This window comes from Homo sapiens, chromosome 17, assembly GCF_000001405.40.
Source record: "Homo sapiens chromosome 17, GRCh38.p14 Primary Assembly".
Taxonomy (NCBI): Eukaryota; Metazoa; Chordata; class Mammalia; order Primates; family Hominidae; genus Homo; species Homo sapiens.
This window is the reverse complement of record NC_000017.11, coordinates 72,731,729-72,744,045: the sequence shown is the minus strand read 5'-3', so window position 1 is coordinate 72,744,045 and position 12,317 is coordinate 72,731,729. Positions and strand designations below refer to the sequence as shown.

The window sequence follows — 12,317 nt, the reverse complement described above, 5'->3', positions numbered from 1 at the left end:
GGGGAGGTGGAGAGAGGCAGGCAGAGCCGCCTTCCAGCCCCAGGAGGAGGTTGGAGCCAGCTCCTTCCGCTTTGGTGCTTATGTTCAAGTTTGTCTTCCAGACTCTGCCTCACCCTGCGTTCAGTCGGACTTACTAACCCAGGCCAGGCAGTTCATTTTCCCTGAGCTAATGGCAGTAGCTGTGTAAAGGGGCAAGAAGTTATTCACAGTATGAGTTGGGTTTCTTCTATTTGCACTCGAGGTGGGACACTGGGGGCATGAGCATCAGTCAGCATTTTTCCTCCTTTCCTTTTCCCCCCAGTGAGTTCTTTCTACCGTCTGTTGATCTTCAGTGTCGGCCTGAATTCTCGTTTTGGTGTTCCTTCTGCATGCATAACTAACGTGTCCTGCCTTCTCATGAGCTTAGCTCTCGGGGATCACCTCTGTTTTCAGACACGGTAACAGATACATTGTCTTCCCCCAGGACCTCTTCTTCCTGTTTCGCTTTCTAAATCCAGGGGGAAAGTGGGCTGATGCCTCCTAAGGCAGCGTGGAGTTGTGGTTCTCTCCCGCCAGGGCCACTGCAGACCTGAGAGGAAGGACCTGCTCCTTTGCAAACCATCACAGAATGCTCATTTGTGAACTTTTGTCCCCTGCTACTGGCCTGGCCTGAGGTACAGGATGGGCCGGAGGGAAAATGCATTCCCTTTGCTCCAAACCTCTTCAGGGTACAGAGACTCAGATGCCAGTGTTCACTACCCATGGGGCCATGTTGTAGCTGGGGGAAAGCTGCAAGCAAACTGGGCAGCAGAGGACACTTGGGGGCAGGAAACAATGAGAGACTGCGGTTTACGGCCCAGCTCTAGCCCCCCCAGCTGGGTCACCTAGGGCAGGCCCTTTTCTTCATCTGCTCACTGGGTGCTCCCTTCCCCAATCTCCCAAAGCTGCTGTGAGCATTTATGTCACAAGTCAGCAAGCTCAGGCTGTGAGCTAAGCTACTCCAAGCGATTGTTTTGCTAATTAGCACAGGTCCTAGTGCTCTGGGCTGCACTATTATTTGCATTAAAATGACTAATTAGAAGAAAATTTTGGGGACATTTTGAAAACATGGCTTCTCCTTTGGCATGTTTAATTGTGATATCTGACAGATATCCTTGCGGTTTAAGATGACACTTTTAAAATAAATTCTCTCCTAATGATGACTTGAGCCCTGCCACTCAATGGGAGAATCAGCAGAACCTGTAGGATCTTATTTGGAATTGACATTCTCTATTGTAATTTTATTCCTGTTTATTTTTAAATTTTCTTTTTGTTTCCCTGGAAAGGAAAGATGATGCTCAGTTTTAAACATTAAAAGTGCACGAGTTGTCTGTTACAATAAAATTAAATGTGTACACAAAGGAAAAAAAAGGAAAATTTTTAACAAAAGAGTCAACCAGCTGTTGTTTATGGTTTTAGAAAGTGAATTTTCTCAAAGGGAGGGATACGCCTGTCTAGTGTCAGGAAATAGTTTGCTTGGTTTCTCCCCAAGGATCCCTGGTGAAGATCTGTGCCTTGCAGACCCACCGTTACTGATGGTCTCCGGTGTGTTAGTGCCAAACAAGGTTGAGAACAGCAGGCTTGTAAATCCTGGACTCCTCAAAGGCAGGACACTGGCCAGGTGGCAGCAGGTCAGATGTTCTCGAAGTTCATATTCTCATGACCATGGACACGGGCAGCTCCCACGACTCGGGCTGCAAAAACGAGGCTGCCTCCTCCCTAACGGAAAGGATGTCAGAAACCCTTAGGCATACCCATCGCAGCCTGCCCTGAAATTCAGCTCTCACCAGTGTCAGCCACCTCACGTAGGATACTCTTTTTTTTTGAGATGGAGTCTCACACTGTCGCCCAGGCTGGAGTGCAGTGGCGCGATCTTGGCTCACTGCAACCTCTGCCTCCCGGGTTCAAGCGATTCTCCAGCCTCAGCCTCCCTAGTAGCTGGGATTAAAGATGTGAGCCACCATGCCCAGCAAATTTTTTGTATTTTTAGTAGAGACGAGGTTTCACCATGTTGGCCAGGCTAATCTTGAGCTCCTGATCTCAAGCAATTCACCTACCTCGGCCTCCCAAAGTGCTGGGATTACAGGCGCGGGAGCCACTGTGCCCGGCTGGGTACTCATTCTTGCTTACCTCTTTTTGATGATGTTGCATCCATCAGGCAAACCTTAAAATATTGAACATGGATCCACACCCCTTTCTGATACTTGAGTTATGGCTTTCATCATATATATTCCTTGAGTAATGAAGGACCAACACCCTGGGCCTCGGACTCAGAACCCACCTGTGTCTCTCAGACCAGCTCCCATCACCTTCCCTCTCTGATCTGTGGACTGGAGGTGACAGTTCCCACCTATATTTGAATTAGTCATTTTAATGCAAATACTAGTGCTCCACATTAGGCCTCTAGGCTCCAAATTAGGCCTCCTCTTCAAGATCCTAACGTCTCTGTGATTCTTTGCCTCGGGAAATGGGGGACTGGTGGCCCTTTGTATGCTAGACACTGGGCTATAAGCCTTATACCTGCAGTGAAATATATGTGTCGATACTAGTCTAGTCTATCATTGATTACTGTAAAAATACACAAATTATAAAAAGTTAAAATTTATCAAAAATTATACCCACAAACACAGATCATATATGGTGCCACTCACAGTGAAGAGAAATGTAAGCAAACGTAAAGATGCAGTGTTAGCCTGTATTCTCAGCACTTTGAGAGGCTGAGGCAGGAGGATCGCTTGAGGCTAGGAGTTCAAGATCAGCCTGGACAACTTAGTGAGACCATCTCTATGAAAAACTTTTTTAAAAATTAAAACATTTTGTAAACGATATATTAAGTCATAACTACATAGAATTAACTACAGCCCACTGTACTACTGTAACAATTTTGTAGCCACCTCCTGTTGCTGTTGCAGTGAGCTCAAGTGTTGCGGGCGTCTGCTTAAAAGGCCTTGTTGGGTGGGGCGCAGTGGCTCATGCTTGTAATCCCAGCACTTTGGGAGGCCAAAGCGGACAGATCACCTGAGGTCAGGAGTTCGAGACCAGCCTGAGCAATATGGAGAAACCCCGTCTCTACTAAAAATACAAAATTAGCCGGGCATGGTGGTGCACGCCTGTAATCCCAGCTACTCGGGAGGCTGAGGCAGGAGAATCGCTTGAACCTGGGAGGCGGAGGTTGCGGTGAGCCAAGATTGCGCCATTGCACTCCAGCCTGAGCAACAATAGCAAAACTCCGTCTCAAATACAAATAAAAAATAAAAATAAAAAAAGGCCTTGTGACACTGAGCATCTCCTCATGAGCAGTTCATCTCTGCAGTGAATTGCATAGTCCCGTAAAAAGTGATCTCTCTCAGTTCTTACGTAGTTTTCGTCATGTTTAGTGCAATATCGTAAACCTTGAATAACAGCACGGGACCCACACAAAGTACCATTAAGGATGCTGGAAGTGCTCCCAAGAAGCAGAAAAAAGTCATGACGTTATAAGAAAAAATGAACTTGCTTGATATGTACCATAGTTTGAGGTCTGCAGCTGTGGGTGCCTACCATTTCAGACACACAACTCCTCTTTATAAACAGACAACATAAACGTACGGTCTTGATAAATACAGTACGGCACTGTAAATGTATTTTCTCTTCCTTATGATTTTCTTAACATTAAGAAATTCTGGCCGGGCGCGGTGGCTTACGCCTGTAATCCCAGCACTTTGGGAGGCTGAGGTGGGCAGATCACGAGGTCAGGAGATCAAGACCATCCTGGCTAACACGGTGTGAAACCCCGTCTCTACTAAAAAATACAAAAAATTAGCCAGGCGTGGTGGCGGGCGCCTGTAGTCCCAGCCACTCGGGAGGCTGAGGCAGGAGAATGGTGTGAACCCAGGAGGTGGAGCTTGCAGTGAGCCGAAATGGCGCCACTGCACTCCAGCCTGGGCGACAGAGAGAGACTCCATCTCAAAAAAAAAAAAAAAAAAAAAAAAGAAAAGGAAAGAAATTCTATCTAGCTTGCTTTACTGTAAAAATATAAGAAGTGTTATCTAGCTTACTTTCTTGTAAGAATACTGTATATAATATATATAGCACACAAAATATGTGTCAATTGACTTTATGTTCTTGGTAACGTCAATATTAGACTATTAGTAACATTTCTGGGGGAGTTTAAAGTTATATGTGGGTTTTCAACTGTGCAAGGGATTGGCGCCCCTAATCCCTGCATTGTTCAAGGGTCCACTGTAAATAAAAAATAATTTTTAAAAATGCGTATCGATTTTAAAGCCTGGTTGCTCTGGTGGTGCTGACTCCAGCCAGCCACCTTCAGCCTCAGAGCTGTTAAAGGGAGGGTTTTGGAGCCTTCTCTGTGGGCTGCTAAGGTGTGCACGTGCACGCTGAGAGGCCGGGCCCAGAAGGCTTGATGCTGCTGTCTGGTTTTGGAAAGACCTCCCTCTGACTACCTGGCTTCTGAATCTGACAGTGGCCCAGGAGTCACAGTGGCTGATCTCTGCAGTTTCCTCCACCTCTGTTGTCCTAGGACTCCGTGTCCTGACATTGGTTGTTATAAAAATTCTTATAACTGGAAAGATACTTGGTAGGGAATCAGAATCCCAAATTCTCACTGCGTGCAGTGGCTCATGCCTGTAATCCCAGCACTTTGGGAGGCTGAAGCAGACAGGTCACTTGAGGTCAGGAGTTCAAGACCAGCCCGGCCAACACGGTAAAATCCTGTCTCTACTAAAAGTACAAAAATTAGCTGGGCATGGTGGCGCATGCCTGTAGTCCTGCTACTTGGGAGGCTGAGGCAGGAGACTCACTTGAACCCAGGAGGTGGGGGTTGCAGTGAGCCGAGATCGCACCACTGCACTCCAGCCTGGGCGACAGAGTGAGACTGTGTCTCAAAAAAAAAAAAAAAATCCGAAATTCTCAACCTGCAGCTTACAGTGATCACAGCTATCCCATCAGGACCCCGCAGGAGATCAAGCACAAAAGGTAAAATTAGGCAAAAAAAAGAACACCTTATTCCTTAGCAGGATCTTTGGGCTCCAGACCCCATTGCGGACTCTTGTTGAGCTGGAGTGCATCACAGGTGAGCACTTTCACCTGAACATGGGATAAGTCTCCGCTGCCTTCTTGTCCCCAGGTGTCTCCTGGAGTCAGTGTCACAATTCCAGCATCCTGGACCCACTTCAAACAGACAGGACACAAGAAAGAAATGCGCTGTACTAAGAGGCAATGAATCAAAAGAAAACGAGTTCCTCTCATTCAGTCGATTTTTATGTCTTCCCTCTTCTTAAAAGAAAGTTCGAATTTGACCCCCAAAGCCCTTGGCCTTGCTCCTGAACAGTGGTGGTAATTCAGTAGTTCTCCTTCGTGTTTGGATCGAGGGGAATCATCGCCCTCTTCACAGATGTCAGAAGCGCCCTGATGCTGTGCTTCCACTCCTTTGGTCCGTGGCCACTGGATCAGGTCCATTTCCTTCCATGACCCTCGCTGCGCCATCAGATACACGCAGACCAGCATCATCCTCCCACATCTGATCCCTAGGCGAGTGGGTGGTGAACTTGGCAAGCCCATGTACCACAGGAAAGGACGTGAAAACCCATCTTGTCTAGCCCCACGCTGCACACTCGACTCCAGCCACCCCATCAGTGTAGACCGCATCTGTCTGCACCATATGAGGGTGGTTCCTTTGAAAGCTGGAATGTTCTTCAAAGAGCAGTCATATAAAAATGCTTGCTTGGCCAGGTGCGGTGGCTCATGCCTGTAATCCCAGCACTTTGGGAGGCTGAGATGGGTGGATCACGAGGTCGGGAGATCGAGACCATCCTGGCTAACACGGTGAAAGCCCGTCTCTACTAAAAATACAAAAAATTAGACGGGCGTGGTAGCGGGCGCCTGTAGTCCCAGCTACTCGGGAGGCTGAGGCAAGAGAATGGCGTGAACCCGGGAGGCGGAGCTTGCAGTGAGCTGAGATCATGCCACTGCACTCCAGTCTGGGTGACAGAGCAAGACTCCGTTCTCAATAAAACATAAAAATATAAAAATAAAAATGCATGCTGGTGGTGGTGATCACGCCACCCCTCCTCCTTTGCTACTGACAAGACCCCAGTTTATTCAGATGGTGGCTCCCTTGATTTCAGGGAGCATGGGCAGGGTAGACTCTTTCCCAGCCCCAGAGAGGGATTGAGACTGGCCTCAATTGGTCCTGGAGTCTCAGTATTTGGGGCCTGAGGCTGCGATGGATCTAGGGATGGGCGTTTGCTCCTGTTCTGGCCGAAGAGGTATGAGGGATGCTGGGAAAGATGTTCCTTCCAGAGTAATGAGACAAAGACTTGTTAAAGAAAGGTTTCTACCTTTCTACTTTCTTCTTGCCTAGGATGTAATTGAGATGCCTGGAGGTAGCACAGTCACTTTGCAACTATGAGGACCTAATGGTGAGAATGAAGGAAAAAAAAATGAAAACTAAAGACACCTATGTCTGCAGTGACATCTTTGGGCTGCTGTATCAACCTTGGACTTTCTGTTGCATGAGCTAATAAATAAAGCCCTGTGTGTTTAGGCCAGGGGTTATGAAAGTTCCAGAAAGTAAATATTTTAGATTTCAGGCCATACAGTTTCTGTCCCAACTACTCAACTGTGCTCATGTACTATGAAACCCACCATAAACATTTCGTCAGCCAATGAGCATGGCTGTGTGCCAGTACAACTTCATTTACAGACACTCAAATTTGAATTTTATATAAATTTATTTTTATTTTTTTTTTTTTGAGACAGAGTCTCACTTTGTCACCCAGGCTGGAGTGCAGTGGCACACTCTTGGCTCCCTGCAGCCTCCGCCTCCTGTGTTCAAGTGATTCTCCTGCCTCAGCCTCTCGAGTCGCTGGGATTACAGGTGTGCACCATCACGCCCTGCTAACTCTCGTATTTTTAGTAGAGATGGGATTTCACCATGTTGGCCAGGCTGGTCTCGAACTCCTGACCTCAGGTGATCTGCCTGTCTTGGCCTCCCAGAGTGCTGGCATTACAGGCATGAGCCACTGTGCCTGGCCAAATTTTACATAATTTTCATGTATCATGAAATAGTCATTGTTTTTTCAATTACTTAAAAAATACAAAAATCATTCCTAGGTTGCAGGCCATAGAGAAGAAGGCAGCAGCCATTTGGCCCCCATGACTTAGTTTCCCTGGGTTTAAGCTGCTGTTACGATGATTTTCTTTGACTGGCAGCCTCATGCAGTCCTACTTAATGCAGTGACAGTGATGGTGATGTTCCTTATGGGGAAATATTCCTAACCCCTCTTGCTTTTCTTACATCTATTTCAGAGGGTCTCGCTGTTGGAGTTGGATTTGGGGCTATAGAAAAGACGGCATCTGCTACCTTTGAGAGTGCCAGGTAAGCCAGCATCCTGGGACCCTAGAGCATGGTTCTGCACCCAGGGGTGCTCTGGGTGTGCGTGTCACCTGGGTGGGCTGTCTGTGCATTATTGTTCAGCACCCCAGCCCCACAGGACCAAGACTGATGGAGGCCACATGGGGTCCGGTGAAGGCCATCCCTGAGAGAGGAGTCTCCTAAGAGAGGAGTCTTTCAACTGAGCTATTAAGTGGGTGATGATCATTTTGGAAACAAAGCATGGATAGAATCGCAAGCTGTACTCTAAGCACTTCAAAGGTGTGAAGACTAATGACAAAAAACAAAGGCAGCCGCTGACACTCTTCAGGCCTTTCCTTTTTGAAGCCCTCCCTTTGTCTTTCTTGATGCTAGGGTCCCTTCGTTTCCCTCTCTCTTTCCACCTGCTCCTGGAAAGGCCCTTTGGTGGTGGGCTTGTCATCCTATGGCCTGTTCTTAAGAGGTGATGTTCCCAGGGACCTGTATCCAGAGCATCCTTCCTTCTCACTGAACACACCATTTCTGGGCAATCTTCTCCGTCCTTGTGACTTTATTTTCCATGTGTTTGCTGATGATACCCAAGTCAAGCTCCAGCTGAGTCTTTTGTCCTGAATATGTTCCTATATTTCTCCATCTGCTGTCATGTAGAACCTGCCCCTCCTCCAGGGTTCCCTGTCACCGCTGTACCCAGTTGACCAAGCCAACCCTGCCGTCACTCTCAATGCCGCGTTTTCCCTCACCTTCCATACAGAAGCACTGGGCCTTGTAAATTCTTTGCTCTTCTACCTGCCTGGAAATAAACAGGGCATAGGTAAGGTCACAGCCTTGGGATCACATGCTGTTCTCTAGACATCGTGCAGCTGTGGTTTCCATGGTCCACCCAGGCCCATAAAGCCATAAATGCCACACTCTGCAGGATGGAGCCTTCTATCTGAGGGCAGCAAACTCAAGTGGCTTCAGGGGACTAAAAGATCATCAAAATGGGTGGAGACAGTCAGGTGAAGACAGCTGGGAACCATGAGGAATAAGGCGAACTTTAAACAGCACGCGCACTATCTAAAGGTACTTGAATTCACAGTTATTTTAAAACATAACTCAGTGCAGTGGCTCAAGGGCGACTGGTTTATCACTCTTGGAGCTCATTCACTGTCTTCAGACTGATGCAGTCCCAAAATATTCTCCCTGACTCCCCCAAGGAAATAGCACTCCCTCCTGCACCCATTGATCGTGACTGTCAGAAACGAATTTCTCACATAACCCCTTTTCCATCCTTCCCTGGTTACCAAGCCTGCGTGGGGCCTGTTTATGCGCCCTGAGGACTGTGTTCAGGCCGCTTCCTTGCATCTGTTTCCCCAGCTGAAATGGAGCCCCTGTGTGTTAAATGTAGTCATTGCTGGTCGCTGAATTCTAAGGCTGTACGTTAAGAAGCGTGCCTGCTCCATGAAGCCCCGAATATGTGCATGGGCTGGAATGTTCCAGGGCGAAACTTTTCTTATTCTCAACTTCATGTTCCTGCCTCTCAGACTCCCAAGTCATTCATTAAAATGATGCTTATGGTGAAAATCACATGAGATGGTAGACAAGGAGGGCAGAGCCTTTAGAATGTAAGAAATGTCACCCAAAACAAGGGCTAATGATGACTCGTCACACCCTGCAGACTGCTCTTCTAAGCGCGGGGCCTGGGGTGGGGGCATGTAGCTCTTCTGCCCCTGGCACAGCAGTTTTGATCCTGACTCCACTAGACCACAAGAGACTTCAGAGTCAAGCAGTATCCACGGGGCTGAAGAGCCCAGAGGGTGTGACCTTATAAACATTCAAAGGCCAAGTCCTCCCAGAGCGCAGGAAACCGCACACGCTGCAGAGGTCTGTGCCCAGCAAGTGACAGCTGTGCCCCAGGCATGGAACTCACAGGCCAGGCTCTCTGGTGGCACCACGTCCCCCGCGACATCATCATGTCAACTCCGATGTTCTTCTGTTCTGTCACCTGCACTTTCTGCCAGTCTTTATAAGTATTTTGGAAGAAAGTGGAGCAAAAATATTTCCAACTCAGCTCCTCCCTTCCCCGGACCAAACAGATTCTCTCTCAGTTACAAAAGCCCTCGACAGGATCCTCTAACTGGGGTGGAGTCGGGGCAGCAGGCCTTGGTGTTTTCAGCCTCACGAGACCCTCTGCTATACAAGCATCACTGGAGGGTCCATATGCCCCCACACCTGACCCATTATTGTCACAGCCTGAGGGGCAGGAATGATGGAGCTGTGCTGCCATTGCCACTATGTCCACAGAGTACTGGGGCCAGGGGACCCCTGCAATGCAGGCTGCAGAGAAGGAACGAGGGAAGAACATTCCCTCAAGCAGACCCTTCAGCCCATTCTCCCCACTTTGAAAAACGTGTAGAGTTTGTGATTCCCTCCTCTCTAAATGTCTGGCATCTTCTTCTTGGGTGGCAAGATGTAGAACAGCCCCTGGGCCAAGACTTGTTAGCTTTCTCTGCCTTTAGTTCACACTACACATAGGATTTCATGGGAGGATAGGGACAAAAGGATAGTGGAGAGTGAGGATTTCCCACTTGAGTAGCCATGAGGGAAAGGTATGTGCTGAACTGTAGCCTGGACAGGCAGAGCCTACCACCCTGCAAGGCTGTAGAATGCTCAACTCATAGCAGGTCGGGGCCAGTGTTGTGCCTGTTGACACAAGGAGGTCAAGGGCTGCAGCTTCCAGTTATCTCATAATGCTGGGGCTTTCGAACCAGCATCTGTGCTTGTGTGTAGAGTCCAGAGAAGCCAGCCCTGCAGAAACAGCCTGCTATGGGGTTCATACACCAAGGCAGTATCTTGCCTTAGATGACCACCTGCAATCCAGGATGAGACTTTGGCTTGATCAATTGCACTAAATCCACCCACACTCATTCTCAGTTCCCTCTTTCAAGAGGGAAAAGAAAAGGCACTGACACTGTAAGATGATGAAAGTAGAAAGTGAACAGGCAACCCTGTTGGATGAGCCATTGGTGAAATCATGTGGTCCTCAGCATTGAATAAGGCCGCATGAGGCCAGGACCACTGTGACACAGAGTGCCAGGCAGGGGGACTGTGCACCAGCCCCTGCCTGCCCGGAGTCTCCCAGACTCAGCCAGTCCAGCCTCCACGGAGGCTGCAGATGCTTAGCTTATCTTCTGAGCAGTCCTGGTCTCCACTCATTCATTCATTCATTCATTCATGCACCCGTTCTTTAGTGAGTAGTGGTATATGTCTCATATTTTGCTAGTCATTGCAGAAAACACAATTTGTATGAAAAAACTCTTCCTAGAAGCTGAACATTTGTCACTAGTACTTCCAGTAACATGGTGAGATCAGCTGACATGGATGTCCCACCACAAACAAACAAACTAGTAAACATGGTTTTTACTACACAGCCAAGGACTAAGGAGAAAGAAATGCCAGATGCTAGAAATAAAGGGAAAAATCAAAGACACCGTGGTAGGTGGTTTCAGATCCTCACAGAGCTTCAAAGGATTGAGGGTTGGACCTCTTGCCTATGGAGCGGATGGAGCCGTGCCCTTGCCCTTGGATGTCAGGGAACTGAAACAGCCCAGCCTAAAGACCAGGGCTTGTAGGCATTGCCTTCTGTAAAAGGGACTATAAAACTCCACCCACTGGTCCAGGAACTTGCGTGTGCAACTTGTCCTCTCTCCAGGATCTTGGACAGAGAGATGGGGTATAGGGCATAGTAAATGATGTGCAGGATAGGAAAACCCTAGACCTGCATCACACAAAGGGTGTATGGTACAAACTTTTATACTCTATCTTGTACCAGAAACCTCAAATAAAGAGCATAAATACTGGCCTAGGATAATAGAAATCTTTCAGGCTCTAGCAGGAACAAACATAAAGTCCTTACCTACACAAAGCCCTAACTCTTCCACTAACCAGCCACACCAGATGCCTGGGGGCAAGGAGGAGGACTCTTAAGTACGGTTGCACTTACACTCAAATAGAAAATAAAATACAGACAAACCACAGAGGGAAACATGCCGCTGCGCAGGAAAGATAGCACTCACAAAACTAGAAATAACAAAACTGCAGGAGAAATGCATCAGACAGACCCGAACCGAGGGACAAAATACCTGACCAGCCCTCCTCAAAACTGCCAAGATGGTCCCAAAACAAGGGAAGTCTAAGAAACAGTCCAGAGAAGACGAAGGAGACTAAATGCGAGGCGCTGTTCTGGATGGGATCTTTGTACAGGAAAGAGACGTTAGGGAAGAACTAGTGAAATCTGAATACACTGAATATAGTGTAGTTACTAGTGAAATCTGAATATAGTGTAGTTAAAAGTAATGCACATGGCCAGGTGCCGTGGCTCACGCCTATAATCCCGTACTTTGAGAGGCCGAGGCGGGCGGATCCCTCGAGGTCGGGAATTCAAGACCGGCTTGGCCTACAAAACCCTCCCATCCCTACTAAAAATACAAAAATTAGCCGGGTGTGGTGGTAGGTGCCTTTGATCCCAGCTACTTGGGAGGCTGAGGTTACAGTGAGCTGAGGTCTCACCACTGCCCTCCAGCCTGGGCAACAGAGCGAGACTCTGTCTCAAAAAAAAAAAAAAAAAAAAAAAAAAGAAAAGAAAAGAAAAAAATAAAGAAAAGAAAAGGGCCTGTAATCTCACCACTTTGGGAGGCCAAGGTGGGTGGATCACCCGAGATCAGGAGTTCGAGACCAGCCTGACCAACATGGTGAAACCCCACCTCTACTGAAAATACAAAAAACTAGCCAGGCGTGATGGTGGGCACCTGTAATCCCAGCTACTCAGGAGCTGAGGCAGGAGAATCTCTTGAACCTGGGAGGTGGAGGTTGCAGTGTGCCAAGATCGCGCCATTGCATTCCAGCCTGGGCAACAGAGCAAGTCTCCATTTCAAACAAACAAACAAAC

At 47.9% G+C, this 12,317-nt stretch overlaps 1 protein-coding gene across 27 annotated transcripts in view, besides 2 other annotated features; it reads left to right on the top strand.

The window, feature by feature from the left end:
* Positions 1 to 12,317, top strand: part of SLC39A11 (solute carrier family 39 member 11) — a 446,740-nt gene that overhangs the window by 348,643 nt on the left and 85,780 nt on the right. For all 27 annotated transcript variants that reach the window (XM_017024335.2, NM_139177.4, XM_006721757.3 and 24 more), the window contains one exon: positions 7,327 to 7,396. In XM_017024335.2, the coding sequence (XP_016879824.1) occupies positions 7,327 to 7,396 (70 nt within the window). The remainder of the gene's footprint in view (positions 1 to 7,326; positions 7,397 to 12,317) is intronic.
* Positions 166 to 702: an enhancer, noted in NCBI's record as "H3K27ac-H3K4me1 hESC enhancer chr17:70739483-70740019 (GRCh37/hg19 assembly coordinates)". NCBI's record gives its function as "activates a minimal SCP1, AML or CMV promoter by ChIP-STARR-seq in naive H9 embryonic stem cells {active_cell/tissue: H9 hESC(naive)}" and the evidence as "EXISTENCE:reporter gene assay evidence [ECO:0000049][PMID:30033119]".
* Positions 703 to 1,240: an enhancer, noted in NCBI's record as "NANOG-H3K27ac-H3K4me1 hESC enhancer chr17:70738945-70739482 (GRCh37/hg19 assembly coordinates)". NCBI's record gives its function as "activates a minimal SCP1, AML or CMV promoter by ChIP-STARR-seq in naive H9 embryonic stem cells {active_cell/tissue: H9 hESC(naive)}" and the evidence as "EXISTENCE:reporter gene assay evidence [ECO:0000049][PMID:30033119]".